The 20,030-nt window shown below is 45.1% G+C and overlaps 1 non-coding gene and 1 pseudogene across 1 annotated transcript, besides 3 other annotated features; both read right to left on the bottom strand.

The window, feature by feature from the left end:
- Positions 1-1,514: 1,514 nt before the first annotated feature.
- Positions 1,515-1,618, bottom strand: LOC124901196 (small nucleolar RNA U13). Its single transcript, XR_007059160.1, has one exon. It is a non-coding gene; the product is annotated as a small nucleolar RNA U13 (small nucleolar RNA).
- On the bottom strand, positions 4,133-14,442 carry RPL10AP10 (ribosomal protein L10a pseudogene 10; annotated as a pseudogene).
- Positions 13,612-14,244: an enhancer, noted in NCBI's record as "H3K27ac-H3K4me1 hESC enhancer chr5:137946542-137947174 (GRCh37/hg19 assembly coordinates)". NCBI's record gives its function as "activates a minimal SCP1, AML or CMV promoter by ChIP-STARR-seq in primed H9 embryonic stem cells {active_cell/tissue: H9 hESC(primed)}" and the evidence as "EXISTENCE:reporter gene assay evidence [ECO:0000049][PMID:30033119]".
- Positions 14,245-14,877: an enhancer, noted in NCBI's record as "H3K27ac-H3K4me1 hESC enhancer chr5:137945909-137946541 (GRCh37/hg19 assembly coordinates)". NCBI's record gives its function as "activates a minimal SCP1, AML or CMV promoter by ChIP-STARR-seq in primed H9 embryonic stem cells {active_cell/tissue: H9 hESC(primed)}" and the evidence as "EXISTENCE:reporter gene assay evidence [ECO:0000049][PMID:30033119]".
- Positions 14,878-15,510: an enhancer, noted in NCBI's record as "H3K4me1 hESC enhancer chr5:137945276-137945908 (GRCh37/hg19 assembly coordinates)". NCBI's record gives its function as "activates a minimal SCP1, AML or CMV promoter by ChIP-STARR-seq in naive H9 embryonic stem cells {active_cell/tissue: H9 hESC(naive)}" and the evidence as "EXISTENCE:reporter gene assay evidence [ECO:0000049][PMID:30033119]".

The following is a 20,030-nucleotide window of genomic DNA, read 5'->3' as shown; positions in this document are numbered from 1 at the left end:
AGCCTCCTGAGTAGTTGATACTACAGGCACACACCATAACACCTGGCTAACTTTGTATATTTTTTGTAGAGACAGGGTCTCACTCTGTTTCCAGGCTGGTCTCTAACTCCTGGGCTCAAGTGATTCTACTGTCTCGGCCTCCCAAAGTGTTGGGGTTACAGGTGTGAGCCATGGCACCCAGCAAGGAGAATTATTTTTACTTGAAAATATAATGGAGAGACAAACTATGATTATTCAAATTTGAGTGTTTGGCAGATAGTTCCCCAAAAATGAACAAAGTAAGCTTATTACTTCAAGGGAAACAACTGACAGTATTTGTTGCCAATAATAAAATTCAAGCTTTCAAGTGAAAAATTAGAATTTTGGAACACTTATATCTGTCACCATGAACTTGAAAACTTCCGAATTCCTAAAGACTTCTTTGATGAGATTGATAGTGATATAATGAATGTGATTTTAAAGTATTGTATAATGAAATGCATCAGCATTTAGAAGCTATGTATAACTCAGTGGACCTATATTTTCCAAATGACTAATACACAATGTTACAAAATCTCTTCAAAGTTCAAGATAAACCAATGGATTTTAATGTAATAGAATAGGAATTGATTGACATGATTTTAGATTCCACATACCTTTACGAAACTACTATGTTTCCTCATTAATATAGTGGTGAGTAAAAAAGAAAAGAAGAAAAAACTGCTGTGTGTCAACTTTTGGTGTAGTGTCCAAGAAAAATATCCACAATTATCTGAAGACTAAAATATTCCTCACTTTTCTAACTCAGTGAGGCCAGATTTGTTTCATGTTATGGATTAAAGAGATATTTAGGAAATAACAGCATTGGCCAGGCACGGTGGCTCATGCCTGTAATCCCAGCAATTTGGGAGGTCGAGGCAGGCAGATCACTTGAGGCCAGTTCAACCAAAACAACATATTGAAACTGATTAGGCCAGATATGGTGGCTCAGACCTGTAATCCCAGTACTTTGGAGGCTGAGGTGGGTGAATCACTTGAGGTCAGGAGTTTGAGACCAGCCTGGCCAACATGGTGAAACCCTGTCTCTACTAAAAATACAAAAATGAGTCAGGTGTGGTGGTGCACACCTGTAATCCCAGCTACTTGGGAGGCTGAGGCAAGAGAATGGCTTGAACCAGGGAGGCAGAGGTTGCAGTGAGCTAAGATCACACCACACCACTGCATTCCAGCCTGGGTGACAGAGAAAGACTATCTCAAAAAAAAAAAGAAAAGAAAAGAAAAAAAGAAATGGATTAATTGTAATAAGAGAATAAGATAAGAGAATCCAGGTATTTTCTATTAAGCCAGTTATTAGAGATTTGTAAAAATGTAAAACATGCCAATTTTATCACTATTTTAGGGGGAAAATGTACTTTTTTCACCAAAATGTGTTAGTTATGTTAACACATTATGGTTTATTTTTGGTATTTTAAATTTAAATGGATTAATAAATATTCTTTCAACTTCTCAGGCTTTCTTTCTTTTTTTTTTTTTCACATCAGATGGGTAATGTGCCACCATCATAACAAGGTTTGAGGGAAGCACATCTCACACACAAGCATGAAAACCCAATCATCATGCTTATGAACTACAAAAGGATCCCAGTTTTCATTTTGAATACAGTAAATATCAATAGCAATAACCACATAAACAAAAGCTCTTGGAGACCTCAGTCATTTTTCAGAGTATAATGGAGTCCTGAGACCGAAAAATTTGAGAATCACTTATTTTTTTGCTTTGTTTCGTTTTTGAGACAGGTTTTGGCTCTATTGCTCAGGCTGGAGTGTAGTCATGCAATCTCAGCTCACTGCAACCTCTGTCTCCTGGACTCAAGCCATCCTCCCACTTCAGCCTCCTGAGTTGCTGGGACTACAGGAGTTCAGCACCACACCCAGCTAATTTTTGTATTTTTTAATAGAGACAGGATTTTGCCTTGCTGCCCAGACTGTCTCAAACTCGAGAATCACTGATTTTAAAATAGCCATCCACGAGGCATGGTGGCTCATGCCTGTAATCCCAGCACATTCTGGAGCCAAGGTGGGCCAATCACTTGAGGTCAGGAGTTCGAGACCAGCCTGGCCGACATGGTGAAACCCGATCTCTACTAAAAATACAAAAATTAGCCAGACGTGGTGGCATGTGCCTGTAGTCCCAGCTACTTGGGAGGCTGAGGCTAGAGAATTGCTTGAACCTGGGAGGTGGAGGTTGCAGTGAGCTGAGATCGCGCCACTGAACTCTAGCCTGGGCGACAGAGCGAGACTCCGACTCAAAAAAAATAAGAAAGAAAGAAAACAGCCATCCATTTGTTTTAAATGATTTATCATCTCCGTGGACAAACAGCTGGAATAAGAAATCTCTCCTAACTTGTAAGTATCTTGAGGGACAAGGAAACATTACAACTCACAAACACACGTGGTATTTTGGAGCTCTAGAGATGGACTCCATCAGTTCCAAAAAGGTTCCCACAGAAGCCTCCCATCAGAAAGCCTCCACCCTGTCCTCATCCCAAGCAATGGCTCAAACAATTCAGTGAAACTCAACATCTTTCTCAATCAATGCCACCCTCTCTTCTCACCAGCACATTCTACCTTTGATTTCTCAAGCTGAGATTGGTCAGGAGCAGGGCCACAGGAAGAGAGGATGAAGGGGGCAGATAGGGTCAGACCTGGCGTTCTAAAACACCAGCACATTCAATTTGTTGGGTATTTTGCATGAATTTCCTCTTGAGTTCACAGGCTCCTAACTCAGCAGAATTAAAATGGGATGAAGTAATTAGAGCAGCAGCCTGTGAGGATGTTTTGGGCCTGGCATGCATAGGAATGTGGGGCGGGGGAAAGAAAAGAGACAAGAGAGCCTTAAGGCAGAGATGAGAAAAGAAACGCACCCCAAGGGTCAGCTCCTTGGGAAAGACTCTCCCAGCTTCCCTAGGTCACTGGTCGGCAGCCCTCTCTTCAGCTCTGCTTCCTGAGAACCTACTCCTGGTCTGGCCCTTCACAATCAGGCTCCAACCTCCCTTTCTAGTACCTTTCAGGTACTTCCACCAGATGCCCATCACCTCTACCCATGCTAAACTCACCACCCTACCCCTACACCATGGTCCTTTCTTTTTTTTTTTTTCCAGGACGGGGTCTCGCTCTGTCACCAGGTTGGAGTGCAGTGGTACGATCTTGGCTCACTGCAGCCTCTGCCTCCTGGGTTCAAGCCATTCTCCTGTCTCAGCCTCTGGAGTAGCCCGGACTACAGGTGTGTGCCACCATGTGCAGCTAATTTTGTATTTTTAGCAGAGATGAGGTTTTACCATGTTGGCCAGGCTGGTCTTGAATTCCTGATCTCAGGAGTTTAACCATGTTGGCCAGGCTGGTCTCGAACTCCTGACCTTAAGCCTCCCAAAGTGCTGGGATTACAGGCGTGAGCCACTGCACCCAGCCTGCTTACACACTTACCTCTCCTATGAGACGATTAGTTCCCAGCCTCTGGATGTCACGCATGCATTGCATTCCCCTCCCTAAGCAAATCGCCACCTCATTATAAGACTTTCCCCCTTTGGTCCCCAGACTGACTCCTAAATTAGTTTAAACCCACAAGCTTTAAGTTATAAGCAGGGTGATGCAGACTTGTGGGTGTGTCATAGTTTGAGTTTAGGTGCTAATGGTATGTTGAGAGCATGCGTGTGACTATTTCAGGGATATAATTTGAAGTGATTGGTTTGTGGATTATTTGTGCCTGGGCCGTTGGAAACTCTGAGTACCTGGCTAATTTTGATAAAAGCTGGTGACCATATTCAGTTACCCTATAAAAGAGCCAGAGGCTCCTCCCTGGGGCAGCCTATTTGTGTTTCACCAGCTTTTCCCGCTGGGTCCCTCTGTAGAATTGCTGTCCTTCTCCAACGAGATGGGATGAACCCAGGTCTCTTGGGCCTGTAGACTCCTGGAACATCAGCCATCTCCTCTGTGGTGTCAGGGGGAGCAGCCCTTGTCTAGAAAGGAGATTGCTGAATCCCGAATCTCTCTTTGTTTATCTCTCTCTCTCTCTCTCTCTTTGTTTATCTCTCTCTCTCTCTCTCTTTCTCTCTCTGTCTCTCTCTTTGTGGCACTAAGATTTATTAGAATGTGCCTTAATACAGGCACTGGGGCTTGCCTATGGTGTTCTTGATGTGTAAAGCCCAGATGTTCTGCCAATTCTTCCTGAGCAATGATACCAGGAAGTTGACAGCCAGATGGACGTTGTACACAAGCTCATCATCTGTCATCTTGACACGACCAAGAGCCATGCCAGACAGAGCCCCTTCTTCACCTGGAACTTGATTGTGGACTTCCCCTCATCAACTTTGGCCACCATGTCTTCACTGTACATCAGCAGGGAAGGGAACCTGCCTTCCTTATTTAGGCCTGGGCCCAGGATTTGTGGGATCTGCTTGATCAGAGACCCTGAGGCCAGAAAGGCATCATACTTGTTGAGCAGCTTCTTGTTCCTGTCGAGTTTCTTCAGCACCTCGATGTCCACGTAGGAGATACCCACAGGCTTGGCCTCAACCCTGTGCTGCTGGTCCCCCAGGACACACGTGGAGAACCTGGGGCGGCGAGTGGACTTCAGATGACAGTGCCCAAGAAGCGTTCATCCTTCTGAGGGTCAGAGTTCTTCAAGCTGATCTGTAGCTCCACTGTTCCCAAAAGTTTCTGGCACTTGCACTGGTTCCTGTCCAGGACTTCCCGCACTGCCTCCTACAGGGTCTCAAGAGGCTGCTGCTCTTGGTGTCTTGTGCAGGGATAACAAGAAAAGAGTTAATCCTGCCTCTCTTGAGGCCTGGGGCTCTCCCATTTCCTCCCTTCTGAGTCTAAGGAGAGTGGGGAGTGGCATGAGAGCCTGCATTTGTCATGTCTGGTAAATCCATGTTCCCTGTATAAGGTCCACTTTATTAGATGAGAAAGGGTCACTCTTAGTCCAACTTTGGTTTTGTTTGTTGTTGTTTTTTTGTTTTGTTTTGTTTGAGACAGAGTCTCGCTCTGTTTCCCAGGCTATTGTGTAGTGGCGCCATCTCGGCTCACTGCATCTTCCGCCTCCTAGGCTCAAGTAATTCTCCTGCCTCAGCCTCCCAAGTAGCTGGGACTACAGGCATGTGCCACCACGCCCGGCTAATTTTTTTGTAGTTTTAGTAGAGATGGGGTTTCACCATTTCACCGTGTTGCCCAGGCTGGTCTCAAACTGCTGACCTCAAGTAATCCACCTGCCTCGGCCTCCCAAAGTGTTGGGATTACAGCCGTGCCCCGCCTTAATCCCACTTTTGAAATGAGGAAATGAATCTTTAACCAGTAACAACACTTAATACACACACACGTACTTTTTGTGGTGTGACAAAAGATTGCTTAATTTTCATTTTGGCGAGCAAGGAAATAAACAAACAAATCAGTGATGACTACCATCTACTATCAACATGTTTTGAGGAAAGAATGTACATAAGAATATAACTTCAAACTAAAGAGAAAAGATCTTATATTGAATACATTTAATTTTATTTAAAGACTCACTACATTGTCTCTTGCTTTTTCTCATTTCATCATGATAGTGAAATGGACCAGTGAATACCCTAGCATGGAGTCTGGGAAGAACATAACTAGTCCATGATCTCCTCTAAGCATGGAATGGTATTTGTTCATTTATGTATTCGCAGGACCTAACTCAGACCTAACTCACAGCACTCACTACATCTTTGTGGAAGAAAGGAAGGGAAGAAGAGAGAAAAGAATTCCTCATTTGAGGACCAGGATAGGAGATAGCTATTAAGCCCTACTGGACTTGGGACCCTGGAACAATTGCCTCCACCAAATTCTACTCTGTGACCTCTTTTTTAGGGGTGGGGGATGGGAGACAGAGTTTCACTCTTGTCACCCAGGCTGGAGTACAATGGCATGATCTCAGCTCACTGCAACCTCCGCCTTCCGGGTTCAGGCTATTCTCCTGCCTCAGCCTCCCAGGTAGCTGGGATTACAGGCACGCACCAACAAGCCCGGCTAATTTTTGTATTTTTAGTAGAAACGGGGTTTCACCATGTTGGCCAGGCTGGTCTCGAACTCCTGACCTCAGGTGATCCACCCACCTAAACCTCCCAAAGTGCTGGGATTACAGGCATAAGCCACTGCACCCAGGCCTGTATTGTGGTTTCTATCCCTGTCACCCCTACAAGACTGTGGTTCTTGAAGGACAGGTACCACGATTTTTTCTGTTCTTACATCTCCAGTGTGTGACACCAGTTGTGAATAAATGACTGGAAGGAAAAAAACCCAGGGAACCAACCAACTAACGTCCTTTTTCTCTGGGCAGTTCAGAATCAGAGGCAACTATGGATTAAGGGACTACAATTAAGTTCTGTGAAAGTTGTCAAGATTAAAATAAAGTCACTAATGTTAAGAAAACCCTGGCTGGGCGCAGTGGGTCACACCTGTAATCCCAGCACTTTGGGAGGCTGAGGTGGGCGGATCACGAGGTCAGGAGATTGAGACCATCCTGGCTAACCCAGTGAAACCCCGTCTCTACTAAAAATACAAAAAATTAGCCAGGCATGGTGGCACACACCTGTAGTCCCAGCTACTTGGGAGGCTGAGGCAGGAGAATTGCTTGAACCTGGGAGGCAGAGGCTGCAGTGAGCTGAGATTGCACCACTACTCTCCAGCCTGGGCAACAGAGCGAGACTCCATCTCAAAAAAAAAAAGAAAAAGAAAAAAAGAAAACCCTGACAAATAGAATCAGGGCAGGCCATGAAGAGAGGGTTTTCATGCTTGTATGCCTGATTTAAAAAAAAAAAAAATCACAAAAGACGTAAAACCCACAACCTTGCATGAAGGCCTTCACAACATTTCATAAAAAAATACTTCTGCAAGGACATCTGCCCAGCAACTGCCTGTCCAAGCTCAGACTGGCATCACCCTTAATATTGATCTTTAAAGCCAAGGATAATTATTTTTAAATAATTATGGAATCTTCTTAATTTTTCCTTTAAAAGCCTTTATCAGGTTGGGCACAGTGGCTCACATCTGTAATCCCAGCACTTTGGGAGATCGAGGCGTGCAGATTGCTTGAGTTCAGAAGTTTGAAACCAGCCTGGGCAACATGATGAAACCCCATCTCTACATAAAATATAAAAATTAGCCAGGCATGGTGGTACACGCCTATAGTCCCAGCTACTCGAGAGGCTGAGGTGGGAGGATTGCTTGAGCCTGGGAGGCAGAGGCTGCAGTGAGCCGAGATCGTATCACTGCACTCCAGCCTGGGCAACAGAGCCAGACCGTGTATCAAAAAAAAAAAAAAAAAAAAAAAAAGGGCCGGGCACGGTGGCTCACACCTGTAATCCCAACACTTTGGGAGGCCACGGCAGGCGGATCACCTGAGGTTGAGAGTTCAAGACCAGCCTGACCAACATGGAGAAACCCCGTCTATACTAAAAATACAAAACATTATCTGGCGTGGTCACGCATGCCTGTAATCCCAGCTACTCGGGAGGCTGAGGCAGGAAAATCACTTGAACATAGGAGGCAGAAGTTGCAGTGACCTGAGATTACACCATTGCACGCCAGCCTGGGTGACAGAGCGAGACTCCATCTAAAAAAAAAAAAAAAGAAAGACTTTGCCTTCCTTCACTCAAACAGTTTACTATGGCATGCATTTTCATATTCCCATTACAATGCTCTATTCCAAAATAAAGACCTTTTCTTTTAGAGAGCCTCTCTGATCGTTATTTAGGTTGACAGTTCCTTCTCACATAGGGTATAAAAAGTGGTTTGAGACTACTCCAGTCCCTCACCAAAACACCAGCGCAGATTTCATAGCCTTTAATGTCTGAGGCAGTGCCGAGGCTGGGCAAGGAAAATTCAAGTGTCCTTTCATCCACAAAGTCACTAACACAAACCCATTCACCCTCGCCTTGAAGCCACTAATGCCAAGAGCACCAACAGGAGCCTTAGTGCTCAGGAAAGAGAAAGAGGGCCTGGGCCGAGGGTGTCAGATTCAGGGTTTTGTTGAAACCGAAGTTGTAGCTGGAGAGTAATCTGGATGTGTTGATCCCTCCTACGCGCTCGCCAAATATAAAATGTGGGAAAACATATGATCTTGGCCATGAAACTGTCCTTGCCTATGGTCTTTTTCTGCTTGTTCCTAATTGCTATTATAATTTTAATGAGTCACCCTTCATCAATTCCACGTTCCATATCTTTCAGCTGTTATACTAAAAAAGTAGGGTGGGCAGGAAGTTGAGGCTGCAGTGCGCCATGATCGTGCCACCGCACTCCAGCCTGGGTGACAGAGCAAGACCCTGTCTCTAAAAAGAAAAAAGAAAAAAAAAGTGGAGCAGGATGTGCTTGTTGACACATAACTTTTATGTAACTTGGGCATGCTCAGATTCGTCTGACCCAGGCTCCACCTGCCTTCTGACAGATTAGCTCTAAAGGAGTTCAGAAAATGCCACCCCAAAATATGCTGCTTTGGGCCTCAAAGTGAGGACACCTGGGAAACAGCAAATGCAGGGAGAGGCTTTCTCTGAACTTCATCTGCCTAAGGACAGATTCTCCAAGAAGAACTCCATTGTCATGAGTCCCGTCCCCAGAAATCTCATCAACTAGGGAAGATTAACCAGGAGAGGAAACTAGAGGCCCACTTCATACCCAGACCATCTCATGATGTCACCTGTTCTTCTGAGGGCCCATTCATCTTTCCCCAAAATCATTTACAGTCCCCTAAGTTGCCTATATCTCCCCTCACATCCCCCCTATGAAGGGGGCATATAAATGTTAACATCTCACTGGGTTTGGAGATACTCACTTTTCTTTCATGCGATGCCCCTATGCACGTAATACAGACCTTGGTTAACCCATCAAATTGTGATTTTGCCCATATCTGCCAGCTGTTAGTAAATAAGTTCCTTTGTCTGGATGCAGAAAAGATCCAAAATATCCATGTTGAAGATGCCTGGTTTCTGGTGCACACTCTGCCTGTCTCCCCTTGCTGGGAGTAAGTCTTCACAAATAACTTCTTTTTTTTTTTTTTGAGAAAGGATCTCATTCTGTTGCCCAGGCTGGAGTGCAGTGGCACAATTATAGCTCACTTCAGCCTCCATCTCCAGGGCTCAAGCAATCCTTCCACCTCAGTTTCCCAAGAAGCTGAGACTACAAGTGCATGCCAACACACCCGGCTAATTTTTTTATTTTTAGTAGAGAGAAGGTCTATCTATATTTCTCTATGTTGCCCAGGCTGGTCTTGAACTCATAAGCTCAAGCGATCCTCCTGCCTTGGCCTCCCAAAGTACTGGAATACAGAGTAGAGAACTTCTAATGCATTTCAGCACAGGGGTTGTTTTCCCAGGCTAGGTTGCTGAGCCAGCCTCCCTCTCTATCCTCCTCAGCCAGCTATTGCTGGAACTGCCTGTCCCCGCTGCTCTCTGCCCTGGCTGCTTCTAAGAGAGTGCCTTAAGGCTGGGTTGCTTCAAGCACTCTCTGCCCTCAATGCTAGCTTCTCAATGGCTTGGCAAAGGTGTTTCCAACTCTTTTCTTTCTCCCTCGAGTCATCTTGGTAGGAATACCAGCATCTTAATTTCCTCTTTTATAAATGCTTACCTGATTTCCCTTCAGTTTTGCAGTTAAATCTACTGGTAATTGTGAAATAGCTAACGTAAAAAAAAAAAAATCCTCAGAGCCTAGAAGCCTGGTCCTCAACTTTCAGCCCTCTTTTCTCATGACCAAAATATTCTAGAGCCTTCAAGTGTTCAACACAGGCCCTGTTGGAACCTCTTTGAGCTCCACCATTTATCTCTAGAAAAACACTGAATATAGCAAGAGGCTAGAGGCATGCTGACATCTGCTCGTCAGCAGAGCAGAAATGATGGCTTTAATTTCCTTTCTCAATTAATTTATTCCCAGGCTGTTCCCTCCCCACCTTCATAAGCTGGTTCTTATTTCAAAAAGTCAAAGTAATAAAGCTGCTCTCCATTACTCATCCAATTGCACATACCCCACATGCTCCTCCTCAACCTCTTCCCATCACCTTCTTTTTCCTCCCTGTCCCCTCTCCCTCACCCCTTCTAGACGGAGTGCAGGGTCATTGCTCTTTCTCCAAGTCCTACACTCTTCCTACAACCTTCTGAGCTTATTCTCGCTGGGTTGGTCCTCATGGTGCTGAATACATACCTCATTATATGCTTTGCATTGATTGATTTCCTCATGCCAATGTTCCAGGCATACTTCTCTCAGAGATGACCCTAGGAAAAAAATCTGATGCCTCAGAGAGAGCTGAAAAATCCCAAGAGATTGAGTGCCCATTTATTCCCCTCATTCCAACAACAGGAATTAAAATCTCAGAGCTGGACTGACCCATAATGCCCAGGCACTGGCCCTAACAGTGGGTCTGGACCAGGAGCCAAGATTTTTGTGGGGACAGCCCTCTGTAGGCACCTGTAGGCACCTGCATGCTGATGTTTGGACATCTTTGGGCAGTGAAATATAAAGAAATGGGCCAGGCGCGGTGGCTCATGCCTGTAATCCCAACACTTTGGGAGGCCAAGGTGGGTGGATCACTTGAGGTGAGGAGTTCGAGACAGCCTGGTCAACATGGTGAAACCGGGGCTCTACTAAAAATACAAAAAAATTAGCTGGGCATGGTGGTGCACACCTGTAATCTCAGCTACACGGAGGCTGAGGCTTGAGAATTGCTTGAATTCAGAAAGCAGAGGTTGCAGTGACCTGAGATCGTGCCACTGCACTCCAGCCTGGATGACAGAGTGAGACTCTGACTAAAAAAAAAAAAAAGAAAAAAGAAAAGAAAGAAATATAAAGAAATGCAACTGAGCATGTAGGGTAAGGCATGGGGCTTTGGACTCAAAACTCAGATTTAAGTACTGCCCTGACATGTATTACCTACCTGACACTGGTTAAGTTACTTCTCTACCCCTTAGTTGTAAAATAACAGTACTTCCTTGGCTGGGAGGACCAAATAAGAGCATGTATGTAAAGCATTTAATGCAGTGTCTGGTGCATGAAGAGCATTCATTAAATGTAAGAAGTTATTATAATCATAAGCAAATAGACATCACTAAGTCAGATAAGCTGTTAAAAGTCATTGCAGGCCTTTAAATTTTTTTAAAAAAATACAGCCTTGCTATTTTTTAAAAGTATTGCCTCTAAGAGTTGCTTTAATAAGTTGCTAGAAAGGAGTGATTTATAAGTACCATATTGTTGGAATGCAAATAGATACTTCAAAGAGGTAAAAGTAACTTGTTTTCTTGAGTGGGATAAATATTTCCCTTGGGATCTTGTTTACAAACTCAAATATTTTGTAAGCAAATAATGCTAAGAGAAACTCTAGCCCTTACTTTGGTGAAATGCTCACAAAACTGTATTCTGAGCTTTGAGTAAATGAGGTTTTTTTGTTTTTTTTTAATTTCACTATTTATTGAGTTTTAAATACTCTAAGTTGTAGTTCATATATAACATAAATAGCTCTGTGAAAGGAAGAAAAACTATATTTCAGGTACTTTTGAGGTTATTAAGCTCAGAAAACCCTGGGAAAATGAACTTGAATCTATGGAAATATTTGTTAATCTCACAAATCTACCAGTTCTTTTCTCCACTCGAAAGTTAATTCATATACACCATGAAATACTATGCAGGCATAAAAAAAGAAGGAGATCATGTCCTTTGCAGGAGGAGCCGGAGACCATAATTCTTAGCAAACTAACACAGGAACAGAAAAGCAAACACTACATGTCCTCTTATAAGCGGGAGCTAAATGATGAGAACACATGGACACAAAAAGGGAAAAAATGAACACTGGAGATTACTGGATGGTGGAGTGTGAGAGGGAGAGGATCAGGAAAAATAACTAATGGGTACTAGGCTTAATACCTGGGTGATCAAATAATCTGTACCACAAAGACCCATGACTTAGATTTACCTATATAACAAACCTGCACATGTACCCCTGAACTTAAAATAAAAGTTACAAAAAGAGCTAAGCATTCTGGGGGAAAAAAATTCATAATTTTTGAGTAAGCTTCGTACAATTTTCCACAGCAGCTGAATCATTTTACTTCCCAATGAATTTGCCAACTCTTACCTTTTGTTTCCCTTTATAGTAGCCATCCTAATAGACGAGATGACATCTCACTATGGTTTTGATTTGCATTTCTCTAACAGTTAGTGTTGTTAAGCATCTTCTCATGTACCTTTTGGCAATGTGTATGTCTTCTTTGGAAAAATGTCTGTCATATAATCCAACAATCCCACTTCTGTATTTTTATCCAAAACAATTGAAATCAAGATCTCCAAGAGATGTCTGCATTTTCCTGATTATTGCATTATTTACAATACACATGATATGGAAACTAATGCCCATCAATAGATAAGCAAATACAGCAAACATGGCATATACATACAATAAAATATTATTTGGCCTTAAAAAGAAGAAAATTCTGTCATATATGACAACATGGATGAATTTGGGGTACATTATACTAGGTGAAATAAGACAGTCACAGAAGCACAAACTGCACTGTTCTCCTTACACCAATTATCTGAAATAGACTCATAGAAACAGAAATGAGAATGGTGCTTGTCAAGTGCTGAGGGATGGGGGAAATAGGGAGTTGCTGTTCAACAGGTATAAAACTTCAGTTATGCAAGATGAATAAGTTCTAGACCTCTGTTCACCATAGCACCTATAGTTAATATAGTTAATATTACTGCATTGTGTATTTAAATTTTTGTTAAGACCGTAGATCTCATGCTACGTGTTCCAACTACAATAAAGACGTCAATTCACAGTGAATATATCATTATAAATAGATATTTATATTTTCTCCGTGAAGCTTCATGTAATATTAACTAACTTCTTAAGAATATTTAATGGTGTTCCAGCTACCTGCGAGTAAATGAAGTTTTTACCCTGCAGAAAAGGAGTCATTGCCCAAATGAAATACCCTGATTTCAAAAGCATGAGGAAGAAGTGTCAATCTGGAGGTTTTTCATTGTATACATGTTTATTCTAATGCCGCGCAATATTGGGTAATGGCCAACCTATTGCACAAACATTTTTCAAGTATTCATGTGTAGACTATCTAAGGGCAGCTGTCTAACCAATCTTGTATATGATTCTTTTTGTTCTGTCTGCTTTTATCTTTACTGTTTCCCAACACACACATGCACGCCCAATTCACATCCACACTCAGACACACATTTACTCACAGGCATGCATAAACTAACACACTAACACACACATTCTCTCTCTTTTTTGTTCTCTTCTACACACACATACACATACACACCCACTTAGCCCAGAGCAAGCAGAGCCCAGAACTGTGTCTTCTGGTGGCTACGGAAAGATCCCATGACCCCTCTGAAAAGCATCTCTTTGTTCCCTTTCTCCCCTCACTGTAATGTTTCCTTTTCCTGAATATCACGCAGCAAGGGGCGGGGAGGGAAGGAAGGGAGAAAGGAAGGAAAGGAAACCGTGGTCTCCCCCCAGCCCAGCAGTGCAGGCTGTGAGAAGCAGAAGGCTCCTGCTCCTGGGTGCTGGCATCTCTCCTGCCATTTTTTCTGAAACTTTGGGGTGTTTTTCTCTCCGCAGCACCCACGCTCCCCTCCCTTTCTGCCAAAGCTCCTTGTTGTGACAGAGCGAGCGGCTGGTGGGTGGGGGGAGGGGAATCAGCTAGGTGGCCTCCTGGCTGAGTTACAGCTCCCCCTCCAGGAGCAGGGAGGGCGGAGATGAGACCACAGACAAATCCTAGAAGCCCCCCTAGTGCTGACCCCCCTACATACCCAGAGCGTCTGTACACCCCCCAACACCCACCCATACACACACACACATACACACACACACACACACACACACACCCCAGATGAGCGTGGCAGGCACAGCCACACAGTAACACTCAGGCAGGAAACCCCATGTCACATTGGCATGGGTCTGCCCAGAAGCAATCCATGCCCCACGCCCCCTCCTTTGATCTCTCACCCCTCTGCTGGGCCAGAGAATGTTGCTGGGTGCTGGGCCTTGGGTGCATGGACTCCGATACCACCGGCACTTCAAGCACAGGGACCACCAGCGGCAGCGCCAGCGACTGCCCAACCCCCTCCTCCCAGGGCTCCAGCAGCACACCCTGAAAAACACAGACACAGTCCTGCTTGGGGGGCGGGGCAGAGGAAGTGTGGGGTACATCTCATGGGCTGTGGCCTCGCTCCCCTCGGGTTCAGCTGATGGCCAGCAGTCCCTGGGTTTGTCTGAGAGAGAGATATCACTACAAGAGGGAAGGAGAAAGGATTCAAGGACCTCTCAGAGCTCTCTCAAAACTCCAAGAGAACCAGCCAGTGAGAGCCAAGTGACGGTCCTGAGTACCGGAGGACCCGGCGTTGCCAAGCTAGATCCTGGGTCAGAAAAGTCAAAGGACATTCCCTACTGTGCGGGGATAAAACATGTGACTCTGTGGGCTCAGCTGCAAGTACCCAAAGATGGGCCGCATCATTTTCCTTGCTGGCCACTGGAGGGCCAATACCCTGCCCTCCTCCCTCCCCAAGACCTTCTCTTTATCCGGCTGCTTCTCTGGTCCCTGTGCTTTAAGCACATTATTTTATTTTAATTTTCATAACTCCACAGGGTGTTACTGTAGAAAAAAAAAAACTTGTGGTTCAGGAATTTTACATGATTTGATCAAGATTACAGCCAAGCGCGCGGTGGCGTGTGCCCGGAGTCCCAGCTACTTGGGAGACTGAGGCAGGAGGATCACTTGAGCCCAGGTCAGGAGTTGGAGTCCAGTCTTCAGCCTGGGTAATATAGCGAGACCTCATTTCTGTCTCTCCGAGAGAGAGAGAGAAAGAGAGAGAGACGGAGAGAGAGAGACAGAGAGAATACACAACTAGCAAGTGAGGGAGCCAGGGTTCGCCCCCATGCCTGGGTAACTCGTAACCTTGGCCCTTCCCACTGCTTCTCAGGAGCGCGCCACTGGAACCTTCCCAGCTTCCTCTGAGTGAGCTGGAGAGGGAGTGTGGTGTTGAAGAGAGTGTTGGGGGAGGTAGAAGAGGCATCTGCCTACTGACTTTCTTCCAAGGGAACAAAAGTAGCGCAGCCTGGGAACCCTCTGCGCTGTCTTGCAAGCCTTGGGAGGCAGTGCCCAGTGGCTCGGGTGATTCCTCTAGTGCCATTTCTCCTTCAGGACCCCACACTTTCTTGGCCAGTGTGCTACATGGCTGCAAAAAGCCCAGCCCTGGACAGGCAAAGAATGTGTTGATTCAGAAACAGTTTTTAAATTAATAAGCACGTGGTGATTCAGGCTGTTTGTTCAGGGCAACGTGCTGCCTAAATTGGAATGTGCCAAACTCCGTTCTCCCACTTTCCCCCACCTCCTCCGCCTCTCCAGGTCCTGGCTGTTCCCCATGTCATTCTGGTAGTCAGAATTCCGGTTCCTCCATACCCTCAGGCAAGGCAATTATTAGTCTGCAAAGCCCAACTTGCCAACTGAGCAGCTTCCCTGGGCTCTGAGGTCTCTCCTGGGTGTGTGTGTGTGTATGTGTGTGTGTGTGTGTGTGTGTGTGTGTGTGTGTGTAAAGTACTTTTTCTTCTTAAATTGAAAAGTGATTAATCCATCGGTTCTCCTCTCTTCTGGAACGTGTCCTAGGAGGACAGGTACTACTCAGTTTCATATCTGCTGTCAGGAGGTCGGCATGAGCAGCTCCTCCTTGAGGCAAGAACTACAGGTTGGGCTGTCTTGAGGATGATCAAACTGGAAATTATTCTTCCCAGAGGGGCTGCCATCAGAAGTTTATCTCATCTGATCTCCCTTCAAATAGAGTTGCTCTTCTCTTCAGCCCAGACAAACATAATACATTCAAATATTCATTTGACAATTATTTATTGAGTCTTTATGAGCCAGAAATGGTTCCAGGTGTAGGCATATGGTGGTAACGAGACAGAGAGGCACCCTACTCTCATGGGGCTTGCATTCTAGTATGTGGGGGTGGGGAGAGGCAGATAAGAAATGAGGAAACCAATAATTAATGCCAGGATATATATCAAATAAGATATGATAGAGCAGGGATCAGATCAGCAAGCTATAGTCATGGGCCGAATCTGCCTACCACCTGTTTTGTAAACAAAATTTATAAAGTAAATAAAGAGGCTGGCACAGTGGTTCATTCCTGTAATCACAGCATTTTGGGAGGATTACTTGAGGCCAGGAGTTTGAGACCATCCTGGGTAACATAGCGAGATCCCCTATTCCTGCAAAATAAATATTTTTTAAAATACCCAGGCAAACCTGGTGGGCACACAGCTGTGGTCCTAGCTACTTGGAAGGCTGAGGCCAGAGGATCATGAAGTTACAGTGAACTGTGATCGCACCACTGCACTCCAACCTGGGCAAAAGGGTAAGACCCTGTCTCTAAAAAAGAAAGAGAGAGAGAAATAGAGATAGAAAAAAAAGGAAGGAAGGAAGAAAGGAAGGTTGGATGCTCAGCAGGGGCCTACTTTATTTTCTCTTTTTATTTATTTTTTAATTAATTTTTGAATAGATAATATATTTAATGAATCTACATTTTTTAAAAATAGAAAAAAGATATGCAGATAAGTCTCTTTTCCTGCCCTGTTTCCTAGCTATCCACTTTCCTTCCCCATAAGCAACAAAATGTTAATTTCTTGTGCATCCTTGCAGAGAAATGTATTCATACAAAAGCAAGTACATGTGTACAGTCTATGTTTTTGCCCCCAAGGAAGCTATTTTAAATTGGGAGATCGGGAAAGATTTGTGATTTAGGATAAAATTTGAATAAGAAGTTGCCAGCCAGGCAAAGATCTCAGAGCAGCAGCTTCCAGGCTGTGGGAACAACTAGCGCAAAGGCCCTAAACTAGACCTGCCATGGCAGGCCCTGAAATGATAAAGGAGGCTCATGTGTTTGGGACACGCTGGGCCAGAGGACAGTGATTTGACATAAACTGGAAGAAATTAGAAAGCAGGAAGATTCTGCTCTTAAAGGCTGTATAGGCCAGGCATGGTGGCTCACGCCTGTAATCCTACCACTTTGGGAGGCTGACGCAGGCGGATCACGAGATCAGGAGTTTGAGACCAGCCTGGCCAACATGGTGAAACGCTGTCTCTACTAAAAATTAAAAAATTAGCCAGGTGTGGTGGCGCATGCCTATAATCCCAGCTACCCGGGAGGCTAAGGCATGAGAATCACTTGAACCCAGGAGGCAGGGGTTGCAGTGAGCTGAGATGGTGCTACTGTACTCCAGCCTGGGAGACAGAGCAAGACTCTGTCTTAAATACATAAATAAGGCTCAGCCGGGCATGGTGGCTCACTCCTGTAATCCCAGCACTTTGGGAAGCTAAGGCGGGTGGATCACCTGAGGTCAAGGGTTCGAGACCAGCCTGGCTAACATGGTGAAACCCCGTCTCTACTAAAAATACAAAAATAGGCCGGGTGTGGTGGCACACACCTGTAATCCCAGCTACTTGGGAGGTTGAAGCAGAAGAATTGCTGGAACCTGGGAGGTGGAGGCTGCAGTGAGCCGAGATCATGCCACTGCACTCCAGGAGACAGAGTGAGGCTCTGTCTCAAAAAAAAAAAAAAAAAAAAAAAAAGGAGAAAAGAAGAGAAAAGAAAGAGATAACATAAATAAAGAGAAGAGCAATTAGCACAGTAACCACTCAACAACTTTCTCCTCCTCCTCCTCCTCATTACTTGGTTTACAAAACACTTTCTCATCAATTATCTCATTTGATATTTGCAATAACCCTGTGATTGGGTATGGCAGGTGCTACTGTTTCCATTTCACAGGTAAAAACACTGAGGCTCAAGATGATTAAATACATCATCCAAGTCACAGAGCAGAAACAAACCCAGGTGTTCTGACTCCACATAGCACAAGCTTCTCTCATTGTGGGGAGAGCAGAGGGCAATGTAAGCAGGCAGAATAACAGGAATGAGAGAAAGAAGCAGGGAGCGTTGGTAAACCCAACTGCCTGTCATTTGCACCAGGCATGCTCTCTCAAGAGGAGCCTGTACCCTCTGCCTTCTAGGTAGTCTTCATATTCCCAGATCACAAGTCCTAGCTCAGGAAAAGGAGCAACTTACTGGTGGACAGCCTCAACAGAGCAGGAAAATTGTGAACAAGAGAAATTCACCACCTCTACAGTCTCATTAACACTGCAGACCTACACACACATGCACCAGACCTGCAGGTTGTCAGCGGTTAGTTACTAAGCCTGAGGCCTGAAATAAATTAGGCTGCGTCTCAGAAAAAACAAGGTTATGTTACTCATATTAAGTATTCGTGTGGATTAAAATGCCATCTACTGTTTTGTGGGTCACCTTTCTTTTCTCAGGGCCCTGCTGAGTGGCTGGAAGGGTTATCTTCCACATGCGCTACTCAGACTCTGTCCTGTCACCTCCCAAAGGGGACTGGCCGAATTGAACCACCTACCCCTTGTCTATCAGAGCCAGGCTATGAGGCCCCCGGGTAGGGGCTTCAGTGCCTGCCTTTGGAATAAAGCTGCCTTCTAGGGTTGCCCCTGGCAACCAAACTGCTTGAATGTCTGTATCTCTTAGAGGAGACTTGGGAGTTGGGGAGGAGGAGGATTGGTCCCTGAACCACAGGATGCAGGGAGCATGTGAGGCATTGTCCCCCTTTCCACCTTTCAGCCCCTAGACCCCACCTCCTGATGACAACAAGTGTTGTCCCCTCACCTGGCTTCTGCAGGTCAGCAGAATTAGCCTGAGATTCTCCCTGAGGACAGAGAGGTTGGGGAGAACCTGCCTGCTTAGCCTATTGCAAAGATCCAGGTACCCAACACATCTTTGGACAGTTCCTGGCATACCATATGCCTTCAAATGCCTAACACCATTTCGTCCTTTAAGCTTCAACATCCCCTTCTCCAGGAAGCCTGCCCTGACTTGCCTTTTGTGACCTAGGCAGAGATAGTGTCCCTGCCTGCGAAACCCTGAGTATCACTCTATCATAATACACATCACTCCATTGTAGATGTATCTGTTTTTATTAGTTTCTTTAGGTTAAGGAGTGTGTATTATTCTAGCCCAGGACCTGGCACATAGGCACAAAATAAATGCTTATTGAATAGGTAAGTGACTGAGTGAGAACACAGGACTGTGACAGGAGAGCATTTCCCAAACCAGCAGTCCTGTAGTCCATTGTAGATTAGTGGGAATGTTGCAAAAAATAAAAAGGAGTTCTTTGCTTAGATAATGTTGGGAAAGAAACTCCCTCCCTTCCTGAGGCAGGAAGGAGCTCTTCAAGCACTGGCCAGAGGAAGCAGAATGTGCAGAGCACAGAGGGGCCTGAAATGATTCAGCTGCATCCACAGTATAGGGTGTGCAGGGGGAAAAAGGAACCAAGACAGTCCTGAAAGCTGAATTGATGCATTTGGGACAGGAGAGTGGCAAGCTCCAAGCCTCATGTTAGGAAGACAGATCTGGCCAGGTGTGTAGGGTGGACTGGAGGGAAGAACCAGCTGGCAGGGACACTTGTCAGGAAACTGTTGTGACAGTGCAGACTTGATCTGTAAAGGGTCTAGACAAGAGCAGTGACAGAGGGAAATGAAAGCAAGAAATAAACCACCCAACTCTATTGGATGGCTTCTTCATCAGCCCGGGGACGGCAGCTGCTGCCTGACCCTGGTTAATTACCAGCCTGTGGTTGCCATCTGAGCTGACTGGCCACCAAACACTTGGTGCTCTGCAGAAGTCCTAGCTGCCCTGGTGCTGAGTGGTGTGGGGTGGAGGGTAAGTCTAGGAGAGCATTTCCCAAACCAGCAGTCCTGTAGTCCATTGTAGATTAGTAGGCATGTTGCAAAAAATAAAAATGAGTTCTCTGCTTAGGTAATGTTGGGAAAGAAACTCCAGAGTCAACAAAGGGAGAAAGTTTCTCTACTGGAACATGTCAAGGAGCCATGTACCCCTTCCCTCAGTGTTTATCAACCTGAAATGGCAACAGAGCCCTTTTCATACCATACCCATTCACAGCTCCTA

Source organism: Homo sapiens, chromosome 5 (assembly GCF_000001405.40).
Source record: "Homo sapiens chromosome 5, GRCh38.p14 Primary Assembly".
Classification (NCBI taxonomy): Eukaryota; Metazoa; Chordata; class Mammalia; order Primates; family Hominidae; genus Homo; species Homo sapiens.
Note: the sequence above shows the minus strand (reverse complement) of the source record. Positions and strands in the feature narration are given on the sequence as shown.